The sequence below is a fragment of the Homo sapiens genome, chromosome 1, assembly GCF_000001405.40.
Source record: "Homo sapiens chromosome 1, GRCh38.p14 Primary Assembly".
Taxonomy (NCBI): Eukaryota; Metazoa; Chordata; class Mammalia; order Primates; family Hominidae; genus Homo; species Homo sapiens.
Window position 1 is genome coordinate 1,812,711 of NC_000001.11, and position 19,871 is coordinate 1,832,581.

General features: G+C 44.5%; 1 protein-coding gene across 34 annotated transcripts in view, besides 1 other annotated feature; it reads right to left on the minus strand.

The window, feature by feature from the left end:
- Positions 1–19,871, minus strand: part of GNB1 (G protein subunit beta 1) — a 105,802-nt gene that overhangs the window by 27,425 nt on the left and 58,506 nt on the right. For 27 of the 34 annotated variants that reach the window (XM_017001061.3, NM_001282539.2, XM_017001060.3 and 24 more), the window contains 3 exons: positions 12,687–12,789; positions 5,127–5,165; positions 3,046–3,152 (listed from right to left, as the gene is read on the minus strand). In XM_017001061.3, the coding sequence (XP_016856550.1) occupies positions 3,046–3,152; positions 5,127–5,165; positions 12,687–12,743 (203 nt within the window). In that variant the 5' untranslated portion in view covers positions 12,744–12,789. Of the gene's footprint in view, positions 1–3,045; positions 3,153–5,126; positions 5,166–12,686; positions 12,790–19,521; positions 19,583–19,871 lie in introns of those variants that run through there. The other 7 variants (XM_047418078.1, XM_047418076.1, XM_047418072.1 and 4 more) reach the window with 3 other exon arrangements.
- Positions 13,298–14,201: an enhancer, noted in NCBI's record as "NANOG-H3K27ac-H3K4me1 hESC enhancer chr1:1757447-1758350 (GRCh37/hg19 assembly coordinates)". NCBI's record gives its function as "activates a minimal SCP1, AML or CMV promoter by ChIP-STARR-seq in primed H9 embryonic stem cells {active_cell/tissue: H9 hESC(primed)}" and the evidence as "EXISTENCE:reporter gene assay evidence [ECO:0000049][PMID:30033119]".

Here is a 19,871-nt window from a genome sequence, read left to right on the forward strand (position 1 = left end):
TTTGTCAGCCCTTGCTTTTCTTCCTTCTAATCCTGGGGCTTTCAAGGCACAAAGTGTGTTTGAGACAGACGGAACATAAAGCCTCCCATGCAAGGATCTGGCGCCCACCCCACCCACCCTGAGCCCCCAGCCCCACCTCCACTGCTCAGTTCACACACCCATCTCTTCGGTCCCTGAACACACCTGCCTGCAGGTCACTCTCATCCCTTCCAGACTACCCAGTCCAGAGCCCAGCTGGTGAAGGAGACATATTACTTGGCAGTGCAGTGCTCTGAGTACCTGAACACTGCCCAGCAGCAGCACTGTCTACTCCACTAACCTGCCTAATCTGCACATCAGTGTTCCCACACATGGAGGAAAGGCCCCAGAGGTAACATACTGTTTTGTTTTCCATCTACTTTTGACAATAAATTCTAACATAGATAGACTAGTAACAACATTTTTTCTTTTTTTTTTTTGAGTCAGTGTCACTCTGTCACCCAGTGGTGCAATTTCGGCTCACAGTAACCTCCACGTGCCTCAGCCTTCCAAGTAGCTGGGACTACAGCTACCATGCCCAGCTAATTTTTAAATTTTTAGCAGAGATGGGGTTTCGCCATGTTGGCCAGGAGGCTGGTTTCGAACTCCTGACCTCAAGTGATCCGCCCACCTCAGCCTCCCAAAGTGCTGGGATTACAGGTGTGCGCCACTGCATCCAGCCAGAACATTTTTTAAAAAATTCTTTTTAATTTTTTAAAGGAATAACTTTGAATTCACAAAGTATATTCTTACTTATTTACTTATTTATTTAGAGACAGGGTCTCACTCTGCCGTGCAGGCTGAAACACAGTGGGGTGATCTGGAATCACTGCAAGCTCTGCTTCCCTGACTCCTGGGTTCAAGTGATCCTCCCACCTCGGCCTCCTAAGTAGCTGGGACTCCAGGTGCGCACCACAACAACCAACTTATTTTTGTACTTTTTGTAGAGAAGGGGTCTCGCCATGTGACCTAGGCTGATCTTGAACTCCTGGGCTCAAGCCATTCGCCTGCCTTGGCCTCCCAAAGTGCTGGGATGAGAGGCATGAGCCAATGTGCCTGGTTACTTATTTATTTTGAATATTTAAAAGAATTTTTGACAAGTAATTATATGTATATTTACGGAGTACAATGTGATATTCTGATATATATCCACATTGTGAAATAAATCAATCAAGCTAATCAACATACCCATCACTTCCAATTTGCTCTGTGGTGGGAACACTTAAGTCTACTTTACTAACAATTTTGAAACACACGTTATTATGAACTACTCTCCGTGCTGTGTGGCACATTTCTAAAATTTATTCCTAACTAAAACTCTGTACCCTCAGAATATCATCTCCCCACTTCCCCACCCTCCCCCTTCCCACTTTTATTCTTTCTGACTCCTGCTGTCATTGGAACCATCATGCGAGCTCTCATTTGCATGGGGAATTGTATGGGATACTATATAGAACAAACTAAAGATAGAATCTTTTGTTCTCTAGCTGTTTGTGCTCTAAAGCGGACAATTTCACGAACAAAGAAAAAGCCTAGCAGAAAATTCCACGCTAACAACGGAATACAAAGAAATACTACTCAAAGAAGGGCATGTTAAAAATTGTTATGTCAGGTGCTTCAACGAGCATGTCACAGTTACACAAATCAAACAGTACTTTATTAAATTATTTAGATAGAACAGGCACCAAATAAGACTTTGTAATAGCCTCTAAATCAGAGTGTGGGGTCACGGAAGGGAGATGCCTGGTGGAGAAGAAAGGGGTATAATTTAAAGTACAAGAAATAGGCTAGAAGTGGTGGTGGCTCACACCTATAATCTCAGCACTTTGGGAGGCTGAGGTGGAAGGATCACTTAGGGGCCAGGAGTTTGAGACCAGTGTCAGCAACAAAGGGAGACCCTGTCTCTGTAAAAAACCAAAAAATATTAGCCAGGCATGGTGGCACATGCCTGTGGCCTATGCCACTTGGGAGGCTGAGTAGGAAGGGTTACTGGAGCCTAGGACGTCGAGGCTGCAGTGAGATATGATCACACCACTGCACTCCAGCATGACTGAGTGAGACCCTGTCTCAAAAAAAAAAAAAAAAAAAAAAAGAAAAAAAGAGGCTGGGCGTAGTGGCTCACGCCTGTAATCCCATCACTTTGGGAGGCCGAGGCGGGTGGATCGTGAAGTCAGGAGATCCAGACCATCCTGGCTAACATGGTGAAACCCCATCTCTACTAAAAATACAAAAAAATTAGCCAGTGTGGTGGCAGGCGCCTGTAGTCCCAGCTACTAGGGAGGGTGAGGCAGGAGAATGGCGTGAACCCGGGAGGCGGAGCTTGCAGTGAGCCGAGATTGCCCCACCGCACTCCAGGCTGGGCAACACAGTGAGACTCCGTCTTTAAAAAAAAAAAAAAAAAGAGAAAAGAAAAGAACAAATAGGAGCCCATGAAGGGAATTATCTCTTGGGATGGTAAACCAAAGGAAGGCAGGGCAGACAGGCCAGATGAGAGAATGGTGAGAGCAGCTCACAGCGCATTCCCGTGTGTCTGCCGCAGCAAAGCACACACAGCACAATGCTGTTCTAAGGCTCAATACACTTAATCCCTCAGGATCCTCGGGGCAGGTTCTGTGATTTCCTGAGCCAGGGCACTGACATCACAAGAGGGCGAGGGCCAACCAGCCCTGAGAAACAGGCACAGAGAGGTAACTTCCCCAAGTTCACATAAGTAGGATGCAGTAGAACTGGGAAGACAGAGGTCTAGAAACTGAAAGAGACAGGAGAAGGGAGAAAGAAAAATCAGAACTTGTATTAATGTGATTCAGACAGTGAAGAAATGGCAGTGTTCTTTCAGCCCAGGTAAGTGGAAAACTGGACAGGGAATATGCACCTGTGAACGCTGCACCTTGCGTGCCCAGAGTTCTGATTCAACTTCCTAATTTCTTCACTGCACAGCACAGCAAATGGGTTCAGGTACTTTTCCCCTAGGACAACAGAGCAGCCCCTGAATGTAACAAGCAGCATCCTGCTCATGCCCACGCCTACCTGGAGTCTGTGCCCCAGTGCATGGCGTAGATCTTGGCCAGGTGCCCCCGCAGTGTCCTCCTCGTGCGCATTTGGATTCTTCCCACTGGGTCGATGTTGTTTGTGATCTTGAAAATAAAAACATTTCTGTAAATCAACATCTGTGATTAAACGATTCTCCTCATCACCCATCCTTGTCAAGGCTGTTGGCTCGCCCACTGTGCCTACCTCTTCCCAGCCCTTCCCACAGTTCTCCAGTGGCTTCCACTGTGGCATTCTGCACTGAACCCCTTCCGTACCTCTTACCAAGTCTCAGTCTGGCTGGTCATCAGGAACCTGTGTGCCCTGCCCTCCAATGCACGCACACGAACATGGCCAGCCTTGAAGCACTTGCTGTTCCCTTCCTGCTTCCTTCCTCCTCTCCCTGTCCATCCAGGACCATCTCCTCCTAGGTCTCTGAGTTCTTTGAGATCTCGCAACTCTTCTTATGACACCACACAGATGTCCCACACCACAATTTAATAGCTGGTTCCTATGTCAGGCTATGTGTGGGCCTGCATGACACCTGCTTCTGCACGACCATCACTTGGAGCACCAGCTGTACACACACCTGCTGAGCCCATCCTACATATAGACACTGATGTTAATGAGTTTAGGTTGGCAAACGGAGTAAGTGGATTACAATAGTGGGTTTTAAAAACGGACAGTCCAAAGTGCTTCTCAGAATTGAAATTCAGGTAATTCTATGTAGCCTAATTTTTTTTTCTTTAACTTACAATTTAACCTCAATTAAAGCACATCCCCTAAAGCATTTAGACAATGTAAAAAACTTAATCATCTTCAGTAGAAGTAGGAATATAGTTTTTCTTTCACATTTCTGTCCAATTATTTGGACTTTATTTTTATTATCTTTTTTTTTTTTTTTTTTTTTTAAGATGGAGTCTCGCTCTGTCTCCCAGGCTGGAGTGCAGTGGTGCGATCTCTGCTCACTGCAACCTCTGCCTCCCGGGTCCAAGCAATTCTCCTGCCTCAGCCCCCTGAGTAGCTGGGATTACAGGTGTGTGCCACCATGCCTGGCTAATTTTTGTATTTTAGTAGGGACAGGGTTTCACCATGTTGGTTAGGCTGGTCTCGAACTCCTGACCTCAAGTGATCCACCTGCCTCGGCCTCCCAAAGTGCTGGGATGGACTTCATTTTTTTAATAAGGTGAAGTTCACGTAACATCCAATTAATCACTTTAAAGTCTACAGTTCAGTGGCATTTAGTACACTCATTGTTGTAAAACCACTGCCACCATCTAGTTCCAAACCATCTTCCAAAAGGAGACCAGACATTGATTCAGCAGTCACTCCCTGTTCACTTCCTCTCCCTCTCTCCCCTAACACCCCTGCTGGCCACTAGTCCACTCTGTCTCAGTGAATGTTACTATTCTAGATATTTCATATAAATAGAACTAAACAATACATAGCCATTTGTTTGGCTTCTCTCACTATCGTAATATTTATGGGGTTTATCCACGTTGCAGCCTCTGACTGTACTGACGTCCATTTAATGGCTGATAATACTCCAGGGCACAGAGACACCACAATTTGTTTCTCCACTCATTCATTTATGCACATTTTGGTTGTTTCTACATTTTGGCTATTGTGAATGGTGCTGCTATGTACATGTGTGTGTTTGAAAAGCAGTGTTCAATCCTGTTGGGCATATATTTAATGGCAGAACTGCTGAGTCATACAATAATTCTATGTTTAACTTTTTGAGGTATTATCAAATTGGATATTAGAAATAGAAGTTCTGAGGCAGATTCTGTTGAGGAGAGGAGCTTCAAAATATCTTAAGACAATAACAATATTTTACAACTATTACCCTCTGTAACAGGTAGATGATTATTCAAGGCTTGAGATATCTCATTTTTATCTCAATAAGCCCCTCTATTTCCTATGCCTACCATCAGAATGACTTCTTAATAAAAGCAGTGGCTTGGCATCCTCACTGCGCAACAGAGAATGCAAGCAGAGCCCTCCCGAGGCTCCAGGTGTGGGTGCCGTGCTAGCCTCCTCACAGGCAGATGGCTCTGCGTGACTCAGTGGGCTCTTACCTGAGAGAGAGTTGCATCTGCACATGCTTTCCTGGCGTCCTGGGAAGCAAGGACAGTGAGAAATTAGCAACCTTTCAGATACATTCAATCTCAGGTCCACACATACCAAAGTTTCAAAGAGAGCTTTCCTAAGCTGTCAGGAGCAAAAGCAGAATGTGAAAGAACGGCAGAGTCTCCTTGCATCTCAACACCCCATGGTCTACTACCATCTGTGGACTGTCCAGGCCACGCTGAACAGAGAACCAGTAGTACCCAAATCTGTCTAAGACCTGCAGCACAATATTCCTGGGGACCCACAGCTGTGGCCAGCACCGAGGAGACCACACTGCAAGCTGGGGCAGCACCCACACACCCGGGACCCTGGTGCTGCCTGTGCCCTCACTGCTGCACAGGCTGGCACACACGACTTGCTCTTTTTACAAAGCCCATCTAGGGTCAGGAAGGCTGTGGCCCAAAGAAAAGGTCTATTAAAAAAAAAAAAAAAAAAAAAAAAGTCTAAAAAGGACCAGATACCCAGCCCAAAAAAACTTTTCTTCAGACTGCATTAACTAAGTACTTTGTTTTCAAGAGAAACAATCATTAATTCTAAATTCTATGGAGGGCGCGGTCTCACGTCTGTAATCCTAGCACTTTGGGAAGCTGAGGCAGGAGGATCTCTTGAGCCCATGAGTTCAAGACCAGCCTGGGCAACAAAGTGAGACCTTGTCTCTACTAAAAATAAAAATTAAAAATTTAAGGAAAATAGGCTGGGTGTGGTGGCTGACACCTATAATCCCAGCACTTTGGGAGGCCGAGGTGGGTGGATCACCTGAGGTCAGGAGTTCAAGACCAGCCTGGCCAACATGGTGAAACCCCATCTCTACTAAAAATACAAAAAATAGCTGGGTGTGGTGGCGCACGCCTGTAATCCCAGCTACTCAGGAGGCTGAGGCAGGAGAATCACTTGAACCCGGGAGGCGGAGGTTGCAGGGAGCCGAGACTGCGCCACTGCACTCCAGTCTGGGAAACAGAGCAAGACTCCATCTCAAAAAAAACAAAAATAATAATAAAATAAAATAAAGGAAAACAAAGAAAAATAAATAAATTCTATGGAAAACGAGCAAGGGACCTGGAGCCAGACAATCAGATGTACATGAGCCTCTTGGCTGTTCTCGTTGCTCATCTACAAATGACCTGCGGCTGCAGGTAGGCACTGTGAAGGGATCCACCAATGCTAACTCAAGTGTCTTCATTACTAAGGGATCAAAGTTACTAGAAAATAGACCTGGAAATCTCAAAAGAGAACGTACGTTTAGAAATAGAAAGGTACGTAACATGAAGGAAAATAAGACAATGGCTAACAGGTTTAAAGTTTGAGTGTTGGTATAATTTTTTTTTTAATCACAACTATTTTTTTTTTTTGAGACAGAGTCTCGCTCTGTCTTGCCCAGGCGGGAGTGCTGTGTCGCGATCTCAGCTCACCGCAGCCTCCGCCTCCCAGGTTCAAGTGATTCTTCCCGTCTCAGCCTCTTGAGTAGCTGAGACCACAGGCGTGTGCCACCACACCGGCTAATTTAGTATTTTTAGTAGAGATGAGGTTTCACCATATTGGCCAGGCTGGTCTAGAACTCCTGACCTCAGGTGATCCGCTCATCTCAGCCTCCCAAAGTGCTGGGATTACAGGCGTGAGCCACCCCGCCTGGCCTCTTTTTTTTTTTAAACTATGTATTTATTTATTTTTATGACAGGATCTGGCTCTGTTGCCCAGCCTGGAGTGCAGTGATGTCATCACAGCTCACTGCAGCCTCGACCTCCTGGGCTCAGGTGACCCTCCCACGTCAGCCTCCTGAATAGCTGGGACTACAAGCATGCATTACTATGCCCGGCTAATTTTTTTTTTTTTTTTGTAGAGATGGGGATCTCGTCATGTTGCCTGTGGCTGGTCTTGAACTCCTGGGCTCAAATGATCCTTCCCCCTTGGCCTCCCAAAGTGTTGGGATTATAGGGGAGAGTTACCATGCCCAGCTGACACTTTCTAGTAAGAAAAATGTGTTTATATGCTGTCATCTGACCATCTACTTTCAAAATGGCAAATGGCATGTGCAGCCCTTACAGGCGTGCGTCCAAGTGCCCCACATGGGGAAGGTGGAGGACGAGTTCCCAGCGGTTCAGGCTTTTGGGGCAAACTGCTCACTGCAAATGATTTCTACTTTAGGAAGCTTGTGGGAATATTATAAACTGATAATATGGAAATATATTGGTCAGGCGCAGTGGCTCATGCCTGTAATCCCAACACCTCAGGCGGCTGAGGTGGGTGGATCACCTGAGGTCAGGAGTTCAAGACAAGCCTGGCCAACATGGTGAAACCCCATCCCTACTAAAAACACAAAAATTAACCAGGCATGGTGGCCGGCACCTGTAATCGTAACTATTTGGGGAGGCTGAGGCAGGAGAATCGCTTGAACCTGGGAGGCAGAGGTTGCAGTGAGCTGAGATCACACCACTGCACTCCAGCCCGGGCAACAGAGCGAGACTCTGTTTAAAAAAAAAAAAAAAAAAAAAAAAGGAACTATACTGAGATTATTATAAATATACCAAATTTATACATTCCAAATTCATCTTTAGTTAAGCTCTTTATTGGTCATTCTGCTTATAATTAAGACACACACAAAAAAATCGAGTATTTCTATGCAAGCAGTAACATTTGGAGTAAGGGGGATGAAGAATACTTAGAGCAGCAGAAGTCTTTTTGTCAATGAATTTTACTGGCAAGTACTGAGTTTAATATTTGTTTTTGAAATACTATTCTTGTTGATGTTACAGCCTTTGATTTTAAAACATCATAAGAAAATTTAAAATGGAGAAAATAAAACATGAGATTTAAGCAACTTCCCCCGGTTAGTGTCCAATGACTAAAATGAGTTTCTTAAGGTACAGTGTAACAGACTGTGGTGATACTACTGTTAAACCGAAGGAAAAACTACTGTAAAAACAACACACAGATAACTTCAATTCAATCTTTATTTTAGCCAATAACCAGCTTATTTAACTGAGTGCAGCACTTTGCAGAACAGACACCTTCAACTTTTAAAACTGTAGGAAGAAGTCTTTTAATGGAAACAAGCTCTATAACTGCTTAACAAAGAAGAAAAAGTCTTCAAGTTCTTTCAGATTAATTTCCAGTTTAATGGACTCCTGTAGATACATATTATGATGTCCACTTAAACCAGAGATGAACATATCCAAGCCACTCATCAGTTGATTTCTCATTCTTTTTGGATTTGTCAAATGACACAGTAACACACTTACTTTGGGGTTTCATCCTAAATTAAAGCCTGGGCCCTGCTCAGCATGGAGTCGCTGGACATTTTGGACCGGGCATCCATTGCAGCTGCCTCTCGCACGAATGGACCCTGCTCCCTTGCACTGGCTGGCATGCCGCTCCAGAACACATCTACGCCTGTGCATCCTGTGGAGCTTTCCTTACTCCATCAGCTACTCTGTGTATTTTAAGGCACACCATGTTTTAATCAGAATCCCTCTGAGAGCCTGTGTTTCCTCAATAATAATCAAAAGGAGCATGCAAGGTCCTTTAAGGGTCTTTTGGCTGAAAAACAAATCTAAGAAAGAAAACAGCCCCTTTTAGAATCATCTACAATTTCTTGTTTGATTCACTATGCTCTGCATTCTTTAACAAGCACGTATTCCTTGGGCAATCAGGAAAAAATGTTCTACATTTTAAAAATAAGTCTTCCTTTCCCATTTGGGGTAAAAGGACTTCAACAGCTTTTGCTGTCCCTGTCTCGTGCAAAGGAACTAACACAGCGCGGTTCCTGGTACTTCGGAGACAAAGCAGCTAGGCGCCTCTCCTAGTGAACGTCCCACCGCGGGGGCCATGACCTGCCTGTGGCTGCTGCGCACAGCAAACGGAACCAGGAGACTTGGGACAAAAACAGTGTCAAATATCTCAATTAAAATGTATTAATTACACATTGCATAATAAATAATATTTTAGATATACTGCCTTAGATAAAATTTGTTGGGCCAGGCATGGTGGTTCACACCTGCCAGCACTTTGGGAGGCTGAGGCGGGAAGATCCCTTGAGCCCTAGGAGTTCAAGACCAGCTGGGGCAACATGGTGGACTCTGTCTCTACAAAATTGAAAAAAACCAGCCAGGTGTGGCAGCATGCTCCTGTAGTTCCAGCTACTCGGGAGGCTGCAGTGAGCTGTGATCGCACCACTGCTCTCCAGCTTGAATGACTGACAGAGACCCTGTCTCAAAACACACAAACAAAAAAATGAAAAAAACCTTGTTAGGGTTAATTCCACCCGTTTCTTTTCATTCTTTTTCAAAAGACAGGGCCTTTCTACCTTACAAAGGCTGGTCTCAAGCTTTTGGGCTCATGCAATCCTCCTGCCTTGGTATCCCAAAGTACTGGGATTAACGGCATGAGCCACGGTGCCTGGCCGTCTCTCTTTTTACTTTTTTTTTTTTTTTTTTTGAGACGGAGTCTCGCTCTGTCTCCCAGGCTGGAGTGTGCAGTGGCGCGCTCTCGCCTCACTGCAAGCTCCGCCTCCCAGGTTCACGCCATTCCCTGCCTCAGCCTCCCAAGTAGTTGGGACTACAGGCGCCCACCACCACCACACCTGGCTAATTTTTTTTGTATTTTTTTTCTTTTAGTAGAGACGGGGTTTCACCGTGTTAGCCAGGATGGTATCGATCTCCTGACCTTGTGATCCACATGCCTCAGCCTCCCAAAGTGCTGGGATTACAGGCGTCAGCCACCGCGCCCGACCTCTTTTTACATTTTTTATGTGGCAACAAGAGCATGTGGGGAATGTCACGTGACATTTGTGCCAGCCCAAGAGGGAGCCCCCTGTGCAAGAAGGCCCTGGGGAATTCACAACGTGACAGGGTCCAAACCTCGGAAGGAGGTGCAACAGTTCCTTTTGGCCTTAATTTTTTAAATTTGGGTGTCTTTCACCTGTGCCATACAAGCTCTTTCCATCTGCTATGAATAGATCCAAGTCCACTATTTGTGAACAACTTATAGCTGTCAGAAAAACAAAATTTCTTCAAATATGCCAAATCACCCTACTATTTAAGACATTTTCAGGGTAAACTTTAAAATTCTGATTTCTAGGCCGGGCGTGGTGGCTCATGCCTGTAATCCCCGCACTTTGGGAGGCCGAGGTGGGCGGATCACGAGGTCAGGAGATCGAGACCATCCTGGCTAACACGGTGAAACCCCATCTCTACTAAAAGTACAAAAAATTAGCCGGGTGTGGTGGCGGGCGCCTATAGTCCCAGCTCCTCAGGAGGCCGAGGCAGGAGAATGGTGTGAACCCAGGAGGAGGAGCTTGCAGTGAGCTGAGATCGCGCCACTGCACTCCAGCCTGGGGAACAGGGCGAGACTGTCTCCAGAAAAAAAAAAAAAAAAAAAAAAAAATCTGATTTCTATAAGATGAAATATAGTCTCAAAAGCAGGTGGTAAAGAGCTGAGAGTGTTCTGAACCCCCCCAAAAACCCAGTTAGATTATTATTAAATAACAACACTTTGCTTTTCTTTTTTACTTGCCAAAAACCATGCTGACTTAAAATGAACAGCAGAAGCTTAAGTATTAAGTCAGGCAAAATTTGAATACCTTTTGGTTTTATTTAAATAGATATTTCAGAGAATAATTTTATATCAAACTAAATATTTCAGAACACATTTGATTAATTTTGGTGGAGGGGACATGTTAAACAAGTCTGATCAGAGCAAACTATTAAAAAAATCTAAGTCTTCCCTATTCACCTATGTAAGATCTTTTAAATGTTAAGATTTAAAATTCTTACAGTAGAGGATACTTTGTTTTCTCTTTGGCTGTAAATCTCAGAGAATTCCATTATTTTTTCTCAAGTTCAGGAACAAGTTGCCTAAAATTATGTTGGTGTTTCTCTCTCCAAATCCTGGTGGGCTTTCTAAACATGTAATTGGCCGTTTAAAAGGAAATACTTGACTTCATCCTTGCACTGGAGTCAGAAAAATAAACTGTTGTTTTTTATTTTATTTTACTGTATTTTGAGAAGGTGTCACTTTGTCACCTAGGCTGCAGTGCAGTGGTGCAATCACAGCTTACTATACAGCCTCAACCTCCTGGGCTCAAGTGATCCTCCTGGGTAGCTCAGACTACAGGCGCGCACCACCATACCCAGCTTATAAACTGTTATTTAGGTATGTACTGAATGTCATCAGCTTCCTGTACAGCGACACTCTGAAGAACAGCTAAAGCTTGACAGAGCAAACAAGAGTAAGAGAAAGCTCTTACATCAAATGGACAAAACCTAAAAACATACTGAAGACGTGGTTTTTCCTGAGAAGTCTGCCTCTTTTTCTCTTACTCTTCACATCAGCAGTTTCAGAAAGGAAACACATACTTGCATTAAATGTTTCTCTATAAAATATTTACTAGAAGTACTGCTTCACAAAAGTAGGAGCAGCAGAATGAATTCCATTTAGACCTACTGCTCCTCCCTTTTCAGAAAGTTATGAGGCAAGAGAATTGCTTGAAAGAGGTTGCAGTGAGACGAGATCGCGCCACTGCACTCCAGCCTGGGCACAACAGAGTGAAACTCTCTCTCAAATAAAAGTTTATGAACTCTGCAATTTAACATCCTACATCAGTCACAGACTGGAATTTAATGTTTTAGAATTCTGTGAAAGGTATTCTTTTTACAGTGCAGTTTATTTACACACGGTAAATAAATTTATCTTCAATTTTTTTTTTATTTTTCAGGGTCTCACTCTGACGCCCAGGTTGGAGTGCAGTGGCACAATCTCGGCTCACTGGATCCTCTGCCTCCCGGGTTCAAGGGATTCTCTGACTTTAGCCTCCTGAGTAGCTGGGAATACAGGCACACACCACCACACCCAGCTAATTTTTATATTTTTTGTAGAGATGGGGGTTTCACTATGTTGCCCTGGCTGGTCTCGAACTCCCGACCTCAGGTGATCCACCCGCCTTGGCCTCCCAAACTGCTGGGATTCCAGGCATGAGCCCCCCACACCCGGCCTCTATCTTGGATTTAGATATATCTGCTCCATCTAGCAGTCTATCAGAAGCTGTAGATTCCAATCATCACCGCTAGGGAAGATCTTTCAAAATTAGGAAAAAATACATCAGATATACCTGAAATACTTTTTTTATTGTTGTTAATACTCTTACTTTTAAGCAAGTTTTCTGCTGTCAATAGTCCCAATATTCAGGGGAGGGAGGTAGATATCACAGTCTGATCAGTGGCCCAGGGTATCACAAATTTTCAAGGTTATGATAAAGAATGCAAAAGACACTTATAAATTCTACGGAGACATCTGGTGTATATTCAAATAACAAATTGTATACAGAAAGCAAAATCCCAAAAACAATGTACTAGGCTAAGTATCTAGATCTATAATTAGTACATCCTGGGCCAACTAAGATTCAATTTCATATAAAACATAGAACAAGTCATCCTGTAAACCATTTTTCCTAAAACAAGTAACATCTAACCTGAAACTCAAATGATTAATAAAACCAAGCACACACAACTACATACTCGAATCTGGTTCTTAAGTTGCTCGGCCTCCTGCCGTAACTGGTCAAGCTCACTCATCTTCCGATCTTAGTGCTCTTCAATGCCACCTTCAAGAATGTGAGATCTGAAACAGAAAGACAAGCACAATCAATAAACAACTGTTGGATAATTTAATGAAGCAGGTGAGAAAAGTAAATTGAAAGTTTAAGGTGGGCGTGGTGGCTCAAGCCTGTAATCCCAGCACTTTGGGAGGCCGAGGCGGGCAGATCACGAGGTCAGGAGATCGAGACCATCCTGGCTAACACGGTCAAACCCCTTCTCTACTAAAAATACAAAAAAATTAGCCAGGCATGGTGGCAGGCGCCTGTAGTCCCAGCTACTTGGGAGGCTGAGGCAGGAGAATGGCGTGAACCTGGGAGGCAGAGCTTGCAGTGAGCCGAGATGGCGCCAGTGCACTCCAGCCCGGGCTTCACAGCAATACTCCGTCTCAAAAAAAAAAAAAAGGAAAGTCTGAGAACTATGGTCTCATTACAAACCAGAGAACTTTTCTTCAGCATTCATCAGAACTTATACAATGGCTAAGTAGGGCCAGGTAAATAAAATATAATTATGATTATTTATTGGCTTTGCATAATATTACAATGTCTAAAATACTACTCAACATATGCTGGTGGGTTATAAAAAGAAAAATCTGTTAAGCATTTTTCATAAAAAAATCTAGGTCTCCCTATAAATCCAAGAACATAAGACTGACATTTAGGCCAGGTGTGGTGGCTCATGCCTGTAATCCCAACAATTTGGGAGGCCAAGGCGGGTGGATCACTTGAGGTCAGGAGTTCAAGACCAGCCTGGCTAACATGGTGAAACCCGATCTCTACTAAAAATACAAAAATTAGCTGGGCATGGTGGCACACGCCTGTAATCCCAACTACTTGGGAGGCTGAGGTAGAAGAATCATTTGAACCTGGGAGGCAGAGGTTGCACTGAGCCAAAATCACACCACTGCATTCCGGCCTGGGTGACAGAGCGAGACTCCATCTCAAAATAAAAAAAATAAAACCTGACACTTAGGATAGCTATCGCATGAAGACCTAGGGGAAGTTACTTCAGGGAACGGGGGTGAGTGGCAACCTGGCAACCAAGAATCTCAAAGCCACCTCATCTCAGTAACCATGAACCGCTACTGGTCAAAAGCTGTCAGGATGCTCACACAGCAATCCTGAGCACACAGGGTGTGTCCAGCAGTTTTTTGGCTCAGGGACAACCCACTCTCCCACCCAAGTGAGCCCTGGGATCCCAGGAGGCTCAGAAACAACACCTTGATCCTTATAGGTGCAGGCTAAATTAGGCTCAGTACAAGCCGCCCTGCCTTCTCGCCCTACTCACGTTAGACAATATTCCTGAAATCAAAGTAAAAACTAAATCACCTTGTTAAACAAGAGACTTATTTTCCCAAGAGAATGTCATAAATGGAGGCTGCATTTCTGACCAAGATCTTAGCTGTTAATGTATGACTGAAGATCTTGGCTGTTAAGTATGACTCAAGTATAACAAAGCTGAGGACACAGTTGCTAATGTCTTTAATCCCTTACAATTAGCTCTCACATGCAAGTACGGCTTATGCAAGCACTTCAATTTCCTACATAAATTACACAGAGGATCAATTTTACCATTATAACTTTTGTGTAAGTCAAAAGGCTAATACAATATACATCAAAATCTAACTGATAGCAGTTATTTTCTTGAGATTAAAACCCATCTGTGGGAAACTATCCGATGACCTAAGAAGCTCAGCCGTCAGTTTCCAGTCTGAACTTTCCTAGTGTGCCTAAAGGAATTCGAATAACCTACAGTATAGATACTTGATGTCTACGGTCCACAGAACCAGAAAGGCCTGCAAGGCATGCCCCGTAACACGAGCACGCAGACCAGGCATCCTGCTGCCACTGCTCTCTGGGGAGGCAGGCTGCACAGCAACACGGTGTCAGAAAGATTTCTGACCAAATAGTTGTTTCTAAAGGCATTATTTGAAACGGATGTTTTAATCATGAGGAAAGCTTCACTAAGGAAAAATACCTCAGGCCTCCCTGCACACATGGAGCATCACCGGAATTAGGTATGGACAAGGTCACACCTCAAGGGCAGTTTATTCTTAAGGGATAAGACTGGTTAATTCTTTCCCTGGTTTTCACATATAAATCCTAGCGACTGTGATTTGTGGACGTTAATGTGTTAAGCAGTAAGAGTGCCAGGACAAGATGAGCAGTGTCTCAGATGGAAGCTGTCTGGATGCCTTGTGCTTTGCATTCTTTCTGCATGCCCTGACACTACTCACTTGTATTTCACACATGATCAAATTATATTATGCACACAATTTTGCAGAGTTGGGGGTAGTTTTATTTCACCAGCACCCCGCACGCATAATAGAGAATTGTTCTTAGTCTGTAAAGCTACTTTAATCCTTCCAAAATCAACATGAAGAAAACAAGTTAATGTTATGAAGTACCCCGAATTAAACTGTTTTAGTTAACACACACAGTTTCTGATCATTTAAACACTAAAAAGTAAAGCTAATTTTTATAGTACGGGACTAAAAACAACAAACTCCTGGGATCTCGGGAAAGAGAAACGCATGTTCTGAGATGCTTCAAAAATGATGTTCCGGCTGGGGGCGGTGGCTGACGCCTGTAATCCCAGCACTTTGGGAGGCTGCGGACAACGGATCACCTGAGGTCAGGAGTTTGAGACCAGCGTGGTTAACATGGAGAAACCCCATCTCTACTAAAAATACAAAAATTAGCCAGGCGTGGTGGTGTGTGCCTGTAATCCCAGCTACTCGGGAGGCTGAGGCAGGAGAATCGCTTGAACCTGGGAGGTGGAGGTTGCAGTGAGCCGAGATCTTGCCATTGCACTCCAGCCTGAGCAACAACAGCGAAACTCTGTCTCGAGAAAAAAAGAGATGTTTCTTGTGGCTGGAGGGTGGTGGGTGGGTGTGTAAAGGCCCAAATTCCATCATTAGGTGGGATAACTCCTGAAATCTTACATACTGCTTTTAATTAGATGTTCTTTTCACATATTATACAAGAACATGTACACAACAATCACCCAGCTGTATTGCTTGAGACTAGAGAAACAAATTTACCAAAAATCTAAGTATCTTTAAAATGAGCTCAATATAACTTAGTGACCTCACAAAATTTCAGAAGTAGTAATGCCAAAACTCGCTAACTTTCATCTTTAGTCACATGCAAAGAGAAAAAAACCAGACGGACTTCTTTTTCATAGTTAATAGCAGAAATTATTATAGCACTCTGCTGTGCCAACATTTGAGTTTCAATTCAGAGACTCAAAACCTACGTTTGTCAATTTTTTTTAAAAAGGCGTATTCCTGGCTGGGCATGGTGGGCTATAATCCCAACACTTTAGGAGGTCAAGTCGGGAGGACTGCTTGAATCCAGCAGTTTGCGACCAGCCTGGGCAATATGGCAAAACGCTGTGTACACACACACATACACACATACACACACACACACACACAATTTTTGTTAGCAATAAAAATAAATTTCCTGGTCAGGCCCTCTTCAGTCCACACATAGAAGTGATAAGAAAAATCTATTGTCAGGCATTTCAATTTTTTTAAAAAAATTACATTCTCTAGTCTCCAGGATAAAGATATATTTTCTTTTCTTTTCTTTTTTGAGACGGAGTTTCACTCTTATCGCCCAGGCTGCAGTGCAATGATGCAATCTCTGCTCACTGCAACCTCTGCCTCCCAGGTTCAAGTGATTCTTTTGCCTCAGCCTCCCGAGTAGCTGGAATTACAGGCGTATGCTACCACGCTTGGCTAGTTTTTGTATTTTTAGTAGAGACGGGGTTTCACCACGTTGGCCAGGCTGTAAGGAACTCCTGACCTCAGGTGATCCGCCCGCCTCGGCCTCCCAAATGCCGGGATTACAGGTATGAGCCATCATGCCCCGCCTAAAAATGTATTTTCTACAATCAAATTGAAAAAAATTTTTGGAGATAAACTCAATGATCAGTACCATCTTTTTGTTATGTGGACATGCACCAGACACCCTGTACAGGAGTTCAGGCACAGCAGTGAACTGGCTGATGGGATGAGGCAGGAGAGACGAGAAAACGTGACCATCACATTCCCCATGGGCTGCAAGGGAACCAGGTGCCAGGAAGAGCGAACTTAAGGGAAGCAAACAACCTTCTGGTTCCCATAAACAGCCTTCTCAGTGGCTCTTAGTTCATCTTTACCGTGAAGACAGTGAACGAAACAAAAACGAACAGTGTACAAAGCATGATGCTTTTGTGTGTACAAGAAGGACAAACGCCAATGCCAGGGCAAGCCATCTTTTTTCTTTTTTTTTTGAGATGGAGTTTTGCTCTTGTTGCTGAGACTAGAGTGCAGTGGCACAGTGCTGGCTCACTGCAACCTCCGCCTCCCGATTTCAAGCGATTCTTTTGCCTCAGCCTCCCGAGTAGCTGGGACTACAGGCACATGCCACCACAACCGGCTAATTTTTTGTATTTTTAGTAGAGACAGGGTTTCATCATGTTGGCCAGGCTGGTCTTGAACTCCTGACCTCAGGTGATCCGCCCACCTCGGCCTCCCAAAGTGCTGGGATTACAGGTGTGAGCCACTGCGCCCGGCCCGCCATCTTTTTTCTACACACACCAGATGTTATGGCGTTGTTTTTGGAGAAAGAGAAACAGGTTAGCAGCTTTTATTCTTCTCATTATTCTTCAAATATAGTTTGCTTACTAACCCCCCTACACACCAACACACGCATACAAAGTTAACAGAGGCTAATCTGGGGTCCTAGAACAAAGAAACATTTTTTTCTTTATACTTTTCAGTTTCAATAAAATAATATTACATTTTTTTTTTTTTGAGATGGAGTCTTGCTCCGTCGCCCAGGCTGGAGTGCAGTGGCGCGATCTCAGCTCACTGCAAGCTCCACCTCCCGGGTTCACGCCACTCTCCTGCCTCAGCCTCTCCGAGTAGCTGGGACTACAGGCGCCCGCCACCACGCCCAGCTAATTTTTTATATTTTTAGTAGGGACGGGGTTTCACCGTGGTCTCCATCTCCTGACCTCGTGATCCGCCCGCCTCAGCCTCCCGAAGTGCTGGGATTACAAGAGTGAGCCACCGCGCCCAGCCTTAATGTTACATTTTTTAAAAAAAATTTCTGTGAGGGTCTCACACTCTTGCCCAGGGTGGAGTGAGTGGCATGATCATAGCTCACTGCAGTTCAAGCCATCCTTCTACCTTAGCCTCCAGAGTAGCCAGGACTACAAGCAGACTCCACCCATCACACCCAGCTATTTTTGAAATTTTTGGTAGAGACGAGGCCTTGCTATGTTGCCCGGGCTGGTCTCAAACTCTTGGCTTCAAGTGATCCTCCTGCCAAGGCCTCCCAAAGCGCTAGACTCTAATCTATTGCATGAGCCACCACACCCAGCCTAAAGTTAACTTTTTAAAGTTACCTGATGCAGCCAGGTGCAATGGCTCAAGCCTATAATCCCAGCACTTTGAGAGGCTGAGGCAGGTGGATCACCTGAGGTTAGGAGTTCGAGACCAGCCTGGCCAACGTGGTGAAACTCCGTTTCTACTAAAAAATACAAAAATTAGCCAGGTGTGGTGATGCGTGCCTGTAATCCCACATACTCGGGAGGCTTAGGTGGGAGAACGGCTTGAACCTGGGAGGCGGAGGCTGCAGTGAGCAGAGATCGTGCCACTGCACTCCAGCCTGGGTGACAGAATGAGGCTCCATCTCAAAAAAAAAGTTACTTGATGCAATTCGCTGGGTATCGTGGAACGTGCCTGTAGTCCTACCTACTTGGGAGGCTGAGGTGGGAGGATCGCTTGAGTCCAGGAGTTCAAGGCTGCAGTGAGCTATGATAGCACCACTGCACTCCAATCTGGGCAACAGAGCAAGATCCTGTCTCTAAATAGTTACTGGAATAACTGTAACATATTGCTAAGAACAATAAGGAAGACAGTAATAATTTGGGAAAACGCTTACTATATACTAAGTCAAAAATAATATAAATTTGCATATAGTTATTTTATTTGAGACTGAGTCTAGCTCTGAGGCCCAGGCTGGATGGAGTGCAATGGCGCGATCTCGGCTCACTGCAACCTCCACCTCCTGAGTTCAAGCGATTCTCCTTCCTCAGCTTCCCAAGTAGCTGGGATTACAGGCATGCACCACCACACCTGGCTAATTTTTGTATTTTTAGTAGAGACAGGGTTTCGCCATGTTGGCCAGGCTGGTCTTGAACTCCTGACCTCAAGTCATCTGCCTGCCTCAGCCTCCCAAAGTACTGGGATTACACGCACCCGGTCACATGTAGTAATTGTAGCTGCTTTATTATAATTAAAATAGGTCTGGGCGCGGTGGCTCATGCCTGTAGTCCCAGCACTTTGGGAGGCTGAGGCTGGCAGATGGCTTGAGCTCAGGAGTTCAAGACCAGGCTGGGCAACAACATGGCAAAAACCTGGTCTCTACTAAAAATGCAAAAATTAGCTGGCGCAGTGGCACACGCCTGTAGTCCCAGCTACTTGGGAGGCTGAAGTGGGAGAATCCACTTGAGCCTGGGAAATTGAGGCTACAGTGAGCCATGACTGTTCCACTACACTCTAGCCTGAGCACATGGAGTGAGACCTTGTCTCAAAAAAAAAAAAAAAAGAAAAGAAAAAAGAAAAATATACTCACTTTAAAGAAAGATAGAATAGCATTTTTATTATAACTATTAGTCACGTTTTTCTACTAAACGTAATATTGATGCAGCTTCCTTTGAAAATTAAAGAATAAATGTAAATTTTAAAAGTCTTACTCACATTTAATTGCTCTTGCTTTTCTCTTCGCTTCCCTCAGTCCCCCAGACCTTCCAGAACACCCACCACCAGGTTTCCCTGGCCTGGGCTCCTCTCCTCCGGTGCCGACGTCACGGCTAAGCTCTGGCTGTGCTGACTCCAAGAGCCCGCCCGTCTAATCCACTAAGACAGGCTCTGCTAAGGCCTCATGTCTAGTCTTCCTGATGACCCATATCTGCCATTGGCTTTTATTCAGAATCTGAGTTTTGGAAATCCTTTTGAGAGAGATTTGAATAACTTAAAAGCAAGCAGGTGAAGGGATCTGCCCCTACTTTAGAACAACATCTTTGTGAGTCAAGTGTTAGCAAGATTTT